This window comes from Homo sapiens, chromosome 2 (genome assembly GCF_000001405.40).
Source record: "Homo sapiens chromosome 2, GRCh38.p14 Primary Assembly".
Classification (NCBI taxonomy): Eukaryota; Metazoa; Chordata; class Mammalia; order Primates; family Hominidae; genus Homo; species Homo sapiens.
Genome location: NC_000002.12, coordinates 99,503,971 through 99,512,873, shown reverse-complemented (window position 1 = coordinate 99,512,873; position 8,903 = coordinate 99,503,971). Strand labels below are relative to the sequence as shown.

General features: G+C 42.0%; 1 annotated feature.

The window, feature by feature from the left end:
- Nucleotides 8,461-8,560: an enhancer, noted in NCBI's record as "active region_16289". NCBI's record gives its function as "activates an Ori minimal core promoter by ATAC-STARR-seq in GM12878 lymphoblastoid cells {active_cell/tissue: GM12878}" and the evidence as "EXISTENCE:reporter gene assay evidence [ECO:0000049][PMID:35858748]".

Sequence of the window (8,903 nt, the reverse complement as noted above, 5' to 3'; positions counted from 1 at the left end):
CCAAAGTGCTGGGATTACAGGCGTGAGCCACCGCACCCGGCCATCTGATGTAATTTTATTTGTGGACGGTTTCTTTTTAAAAATAGAAACTTAGGGCTGAGCCCTAAATTTATGACCTTCCACTTTTATTATAGTTACTTCCCTGCTTATAGAATGCAAGGATCCCAAATCTCATGGTAGTGCTTTAGCTGACCACTATGCCAAAAAAGGCAACATTAGCCAAACATAATTGTTCCTGTAATAACACAGAAAAGAGAGGCCTTGGAGAATTCAAAAAGGCTATTATTGACTGTCAGAGACAAGCTCCTGGTTTGGAAAAAAGCAAATGGAAAAAATTAGGATGCTCATTGCATATAGATAATATTTGGCATTTGCAGAATGATCTGCCAGTAGTGCCAAAAAATGAAAAATGGAATTTAGTAAAGATGCTTCATGATATTACAAGTAATAGCAGAAATAAATTGGCAACAATATTAGACTAACATAAGCGGGCTAAATTTAGAGTTAGTGCTGAGGATGTTTCCAAAACATCTCCTACCTTCCAGTGACACAATCCTGGCAAAACTGTAAAGATCAGACATGGACAGAAACCAAACCTCAAGGGCCCTTTGAACACTCCAGATGGACTTTATATAAATGCCTCCTGCACTGGGTTATGAATATGTTCTGGTTATTGTCTATTTATTCTCAGAGCTGGTTGAATCTTCTCCTTGCCAGAGAGCTACGCCTCTAAGAAAAAAAAAAAAATCTTGCTTTTGTTTTTCCCACTTGGGAAATTCCCACTTATCTCTCTTTTTATTAGTACTATTCTTTTTATTAGTACTACTAATACTCTGTAAAGTTTTGTCTTTTACTCAAAAATGCATTATCCATAATACTCAGGGAAAAAATAGAACTAATGGAATTCTAAAATAAAATTAGCAAAGCACTCAGGAACTCTTAATTCCCATAGCCTGAAGTATGACCATTAGATTTAATGTCTATAAAATGAACCCCCTCTGAAAACCCACAGATTATCTCTTTATGAATTAATAACAGATTGCCCCATGTATTTGGGAATTTCACCCCCAATCTTATATTCTACCTTAATTGTCTCCCCTAAAATTTATGCTCGAGTCCTAACCCCTGATACCTGTGAATATGACCTTATTTGGAAATAGGATCTTGGTAGATGCAATCAAGATTAAGTTACAATGGATCACAGTAGGCCCTAATCCAATTACAAGGTGTCCTCGTGCTTTTTTTTTTTTTTTTTTTTTTTTTTTTTTGAGATAGGGTCTTACTCTGTTGCCCAGGCTGGAGTGCGGTGGTGTGATCTCAACTCACTGCAGCCTCGGCCTCCTGGGCTCAAGCAACCCTCCTGCCTCAGCCTCCGAAGTAGCTGGGACTACAGGTGCACACTGACACGCCCAGCTAATTTTCGTACTTTTTGGTAGAGACAAGGCTTTGCCATGTTGCCCAGGCTGGTCTCAAACTCTTGGGCTCAAGCTATCTGCCAACCTTGGCCTCCCAAAGTGATGGGATTACAGGCATGAGCCCAGCCAACATACATCTTTTTAAGAAGAGAGAAATTTGGGCTGGGCGCGGTGGCTCATGCCTGTAATCCTAGCACTTTGGGAGGCTGAGGCGGGCAGATTGCCTGAGCTCAAGAGTTGGAGACCAGCCCAGGCAACATGGCAAAACCCCGTCTCCACTAAAAATACAAAAAATTAGCCGGGCATGGTGATGTGTGACCGTAATCCCAGCTACTAGGGAGGCTGAGGCGCGAGATTCGCTTGAACCAGAGAGGCAGAGGTTGCAGTGAGCCAAGATCGCACCACTGCACTCCAGCCTGGGTGACAGAGCAAGACTCTGTCTCAAAAAAAAAAAGAGAGAGAGAGAGAAATTTGGATACAGAGACACACGCAGAAAGAAGGCCATGTGGTGATGGAGGCAGAGATTGGAGTGATGGTTCTACAAGCCAAGGAAACCCAAGTGTGGCCAACAATCACCAAAAGTTATGGAGAGGAAGGATTCTTCCCTAGAGCCTTCAGAGGGAGAGTGGCTCTTCAATACACTGATTTCAGGCTTCCGGCCTCCAGAACTGTATTCTGTTGTTTTAAGCCATCCAGTTTGTGGAACTCTGTTTTGGTAGTCCTAGGAAGCCAACACATTATCTTTCTACAGGCAGATATGATTAATTACTTCATCAACAAGCAAAAGGTGCATTTCCAAACCACCCTCTGAACAACCTCTATATAATCTGCAACATGGAGGTTTAGTCTTCCTGGAAAAGACCCTAGAGAAAGACTGCCCTTGAATCACAATGAAAGGACCTTACCAGGTACTATTAACAAATAACATAGCAGTAAAAGGCCAAAGTAATGTTCCTCTGATTCACATTTCCCAGTTCAAAAGATTCACATCTTGGCCAGGTGCAGTGGCTCACACCTGTAATCCCAGCGCTTTGGGAGGCCGAGGCAGGCAGATCACAAGGGCAGGAGATCCAGACTATCCTGGCTAACACTGTGAAACCCCGTCTCTGCTAAAAATACAAAAATTAGCCAGGTGCAGCGGCACGTGCCTGTAGTCCCAGCTACTAGGGAGGCTGAGGCAGGAGAATTGCTTGAGCTCAGGAGGCGGAGGTTGCAGTGAGCTGAGATTGAGCCACTGTACTCCAGCCTGGGCAACAGAGCGAGGCTCCGTCTCAAAAAAAAAAACACACATCTCTTCCTCCTGACTACTAAACATCCATTTCATCTGAAGCCTTAAACTGAAGATTCTTAGGAATTCTCTAGAAGTTGTCAACTTCAGAAATGGACAGCACTGACCCCAGATTATGGAACAAATAATGAAGCTCCAAAATGGACAGCTTCTCCTGAAGATGAAGGAACAAGATACATTTTCAGATTCGTCATCAATTTTCTGATTTCCCTTAACAATACAATGTTGTCTAATGTACCACTTCAACACCTTCTAGAACACTAATATAATGCCTCTTATTTTCATCCTAATATTTTTTTTTCACGCGCCACCACGCCCAGCTAATTTTTGTATTATTAGTAGAGTCGGGGTTTCACTATGTTGGCCAGGCTGGTCTCGAACTCCTGAGCTTTTGATCTGCCCACCTCGGCCTCCCAAAGTGCTGGGATTACAGGCCTGAGCCACTGCGCCTGACCCATCCTGATATTTCTGACCGTTGTGATCTTTTTGTATTCCTTAATAAAAAGCAAAACTCTCATATGTTTTTCCCAGATCACAGCTGTGGCTCTGAAGCCAATGGATTGCTGAATCTGTAATCCCCTAACTGACCCTGTGGACAAAAATATAACAGCTGTTCCTTTAAATACTTTAGAATGAAAATTCCCTTTTACAGAACCCTTCTGGTGCTGGAGTTTTCCTCAAGTCATTAATCCCAACCTCTAATCTTGCAAAAAATTAATCTTAACTTTATATCAATGAAATGTTTCTACTGAGATCATCACAATCGTATCAGCAAAGTCTAGTCAATAGGTAATAAACGCTAATGTTGGGCTATCCTGATCATGACAGTTTGTTCTCTTCAGAGATACTTCAGCCTGCCTTGCAGGAACTGTTTAATTCCACTCAAGGGATTTGTTAATCTCGAGGGAATTCAGTCTATGTTGCACTAAGGATACTACTCCTTAAATGGACATCAGGTGTATACCTCCCTACCTCACGATCACTGATCTGTGTATTCAGAGCAATTGTCAGAGATTTCCAAATATTTAAAACTATCATCCTTCTATTGGATCCTATATCCTTGTGAAGGATATCCAGAAGCCTTCAAAATGAAGCAAACACAAATTATTTGAGGGAACTTTCAGGAGCAATACCTCATTTCCTCTTCATGTATACTCTGCAAGCTGTGATTCCTATAATAGGAATAATACAATTAGAAAAGTGGTTTGAGGCTGGGTATGGTGCCTCACGCCTGTAATCCCAGCACTTTGGGAGGCTGAGGTAGGAGGATCGCTTGAGCCGAGGACTTCAAGACCAGCCTGAACAACATAGTGAGATCCTGGTCGGGCGCAGTAGCTCATGCTTGTAATCCCAGCACTTTGGGAGGCTGAGGCAGGCAGATCACCTGAGGTCAGGAGTTCAAGACCAGCCTGGACAACTTGCTGAAACTCCATCTCTACTAAAAAATACAAAAATTAGTCAGGTGTGGTTGTGCATGCCTGTAATCCCAGCTACTCAAGAGGCTGAGGCACGAGAATTGCTTGAACTCAGGAGGCGGAGGTTGCAGTGAGCCGAAATCATGCCACCGCACTCCAGCCTGGGCAAGAGAGCCAGACTTTGTCTCAGAAAAAAAAAAAAAAAAAGTGAGATCCTATCTCTACCAAAAAAAAGAATTAAAATTAGCCGGGTGTAGTGGCAAACACTTATACTCCCAGCTACTCAGGAGGCTGAGGTGGGAGGAAGAGAGAGAACCTAGGAGTTTGAGGTTACCATGGGCCATGATCACGCCACTGTACTCCAGCCTAGACAACAGGGAGACCCTGTCTCTAAAAAAAAAAAAAAAAAAAAAAAAAAAAAGTGGCTTGAAATTTGAAATTTGTCCCTGACTTTAGCAGGAGTTGTAAACAACACTACTCCTGCTCTTGGAGCCAAACGAACTAATCTAAGCTCATTAGCTAGAGTTGTCATGAACAATTGTACAGCCCTTGATTTTCTCTTAGCCAGCCAAGCAGGAGTTTGTGCCACAGCAAACACTTCAGCTGCACCTATATAAATACTTCTGGGTAAATAGAACAGTAAATGACTAAGCTAAAAGAAAAAGCCATCTGGCTCTCTCAGATGGATTATGGGACATGGTTTCATTGCCTGGGTTTCATAATCTAGGCCCTTGGCCTCAAACCATAATGTAAAAACTAATTGTCATTTTGCTTCTGATAATGGCCTGTGGTGCAGTTGGCTGATGGATCCTGTGCAGAGTCTTAAATGCTTCTGTGCAGCCATTGTCTCATCAGAGGTGCAGCCACTCATCCTACAACAGAAGGTAAAGGAAAGATTAACCCTAGATCAATCAGAGGCTACATTCAACAAGCAATCTTCTGATCTTAATCAACAATATCTTGGCAATGATGAAAATCTGGATATAATCATTAATGTCCTGTGGTCTGACTTTGTCTGCCGTTGGCCAAAAGGGAAATAAAAGGAATAAAAAAAGAAAAAAAAAAAGGCAGCCCCTGACATTCAGAAGCAAGTCTGACTCTCCCAACTAGGCATATTAATCTCCTATTAGATAGGTATAAACAATCTCACAGAATCCCAATCTCAGACAAAGCCATTAAGAGATCATGATAAAATGAGAAAAAGCAAGGCCACTTCCTAATTTGATCTAAGCACAGGCAAAACAAGGTCACTCTCCCAATCACAAAATACCAAACACCCCCTTTCCCACCCCAATGAGTGGCTGTTGCTTCTTTACCAATTATAACTTTATCCTAGTTCTAAACTCCTCTCCCTATAGTTAAGATGTATTGGCCAGGTGCAGTGGCCCATGCTTGTAATCCCAGCCCTTTGGGAGGCCGAGGCGGGCAGATCATGAGGTCAAGAGATCAAGACCATCCTGGCCAACATAGTGAAACCCCATCTCAACTAAAAATACAAATATTAGAAGGGCGTGGTGGCATGTGCCTGTAGTCCCAGCTACTCGGGAGGCTGAGGCAGGAGAATTGCTTGAACCTGGGAGTCAGAGGTTGCAGTGAGCCGAGATCACACCACTGCATTCCAGCCTGGTGACAGAGCAAGACTCCATCTCAAAACAACAACAACCACAACAACAACAAAGATTTATTAAGACATGAAATCATAGAATCACCCCTGCTTTCTGGCAACATCCAATCTAGAGCATACCGCACTTCCTTGGGCCTTTCCTCAGATCACTCAACGAAAGCCAAGTCACATAATAGGTTATTTTTTATTTTATTTTATTATTTTTTTGAGACGGAGTCTCACTCTGTCACCCAGGCTGGAGAGCAGTGGCATGATCCCAGCTCACTGCAACCTCAGCCTCCCGGGTTCAAACGATTCTCCTGCCTCAGTCTCCTGAGTAGCTGGGACTACAGGTATGCACCACCACGCCCAACTAATTTTTTTTTGTATTTTTAGTAGAGATGAGGTTTCGCCATGTTGGCCAGGCTGGTCTGGAACTCCTGACCTTAGACGATCCACCCACCTTAGCCTCCCAAAATGCTGAGATTATAGGCATGAGCCACCACGCCTGCCAAGTCACATAATAGGTTCTTTCTCACGCCCTTTGTCTGAGACACCCATGAGTCCCCATGGCGTGTGTTCTCTCTCACTGCAATGAATAATAAACCCAACTTCTTCAACTAACAGTGTGTTCCTGGTGGTCTTTGACTGACAGGCATCGACAAAACCATCCTAGGGAGAGTTCACAACAAAGATGGTACTTTAGGAAGAATCGTCTAGAAGTAACATGTGGGGTTCTGGGTAATTGAGAAACAACTGTGCTTACCTCAGAGTAAAGAGATGAGGGATTGTGCCAAGACGGTAGTTATGGGAATAAAGATGGCAGCATTTTGGAAGAAAATACATTTTGTAAGAACTAGTAGGAACTAAATAATCACCATGAATTCATTCACGCAAGCAAAGCATACCAGGCAGGGACATAGTGCTGAACAAGACAACTGAGTCCTTCTTTGAAAGGAGCTCATATTCCCACGAGGGAAGACAATGACAAAGACCACCTGTGCATGTGTAAGAGGAGACAGAAGATACGGATGTTGGTGTGATGCAGAGTGAACCAAGGGGTGGTGGCAGCAACTTCAGACAGAATGGTGGGGGAAGATGGCTCTGCTGCAGTGAGCTGTGAGCATTATTTGAACACAGTTCAAACAGCTGGCTACATTTGATTGGCCAAAACTTGGTGATTGGCACAAGTGTAGGCTATGGTCTGTTCACACTTCCACTTGTTAGAGTTCACCATGTACAGAGAAATCTTTAAGCCAAACTTAAAATATGTAAGGAGGCAGCTTTAGGCTAAATTTGATTTAACAGGCATGAGCCACTGTCCCCTGCCTAACAGACTTTCTGAGCAGTGATGTCCTGGTTCCAGCTTCTCCTGGTCAGTCAAGCATACGGCCACGCACCTTCTGATTTCCAGCTTCCAAAGTTTTGTATACATTTCCTCTCCTCTCCCAGTCCCCTTTCCTTGTGTATTTAAGTCCCTTTTATTAAAAAGAAATTTACAGTCATTTTTATATTTGAAAATGGCCAGAGAAACTAATGTGTGTTCAATCAAGAGTTTAACAGGAAGTCACCTTGTTTGATTTTTTTTTAATTAACAAACGATTATTTTCATACTTAGGTCAGTTAATTGGTCCTTTATAACACTTATGTCAGATGTTCAGAGTCTGTGCTTTCTGGCCAAGATAGATCAATAATCTATGTAAGTGATTATTACACTTAAGAGGAGAGGCTTAGAAATATACCCTTAACCACCGTGAGAGACATGAGGATCAAGTTCCTGGGTTAAAAGTAAGTGCACTTCCTCAAATTTAATTTCCTAAATGATGCTGTATATCTTGTTTTTCAACTGTCTTTTTAATTTTCTATTTTTCCTGTTAGTATACACATTTTTCTCAATAGACTGACTTAGATGAGGGCTTTCAGATATTCTGTCTATAACTGGAATCCAACACATTAGGAAAGCCCAAGGGGGAAATAATCTCAAAGTTATACACCAAATCAGCAGCAGAGCAGAACATAAAGCCCAGGGACTTTCACTGTTCACTCTGTCAATAACAACTCTGGGGACCTGTAGGGACATCCAATTTTATTGGAAGATTTCTCTTTTGTGGGTGTTCTAATTATGAATACTGAAGGGGAAAAATACACACGATGTGAAAATGATGACTTATACTCATGGTATTCAAATATAAATGACACTTTAAATGGAGATGCAGTCCTGCTATAGAAAGAGCACTGGACAGGAAGGCAGGAACCAGGCTTCTTGTTCTGACGTTGTAACTAATGAGCTATTTAATTTTGGACAAATAATTTAACTTCTCTGGACCTCAAAGTCTTGGTCTGAAAATGAAAGTGTTACAGTACATAACATATTCTCTAGCTCCAAAATTGTATGAAAACCTTCATTTTAAAGATTTTGAAACTAAAGGTGAGTTGAAATGATTGTATCATGTTGTCTTGAAATATTAAAAATAATACAATTCATTTACTATAACTTTAAAAAGATAGAATGGTTACAGAAATATATTCAATTTAGAAAAGACAGCCCAGGTGTGGTGGCTCAAGCCTGTAATCCCAGCACTTTGGGAGGCCAAGGTGGGCGGATCACCTGAGGTCAGGAGATTGAGACCAGTCTGGCCATCATGATTGTTATAAAGTTTCGGTGCCACAAAAGAAATAGCACTCGAGTATAAAATTTTCTTTTTAATTCTCAGCAAGGCAAGGTACTTCTATAGAAGGGTGCACCCTTAAAGATGGAGCAATGGTGAGCACACACTTGAACAAGGGAGGGAAGGGGTTCTTATCCCTGACTTACTTGGCCCCTGCTGCTGTGTCGTTCCCCTATTGGCTAGGGTTAGACTGCACAGGCTAAACTAATTCCGATTGGCTAATTTAAAGAGCGTGATGGGGTAAATGGTTTGGCAGGAAAAATGGTTATGACAGAGCAGGTAATCAGAATGAGTCAGGGTGGAGCAGGTGATTGAAATGAGTCACAGTGGAGCAGGTAATTGAAAAAGGTTGCTTTATGAGGAAGTTAAGTTTAAAAGTAGAAGGTAAAGGATTTAACATACTGACATATTGAGTCTTTGAAAAGAAATTTAGAACTCATGTCTAACAACCCCTCCCCTGGTATTTCCTTACAGCTTTCTTTTCAAACTTGTTTTAACATGTCTTGGCTTAGT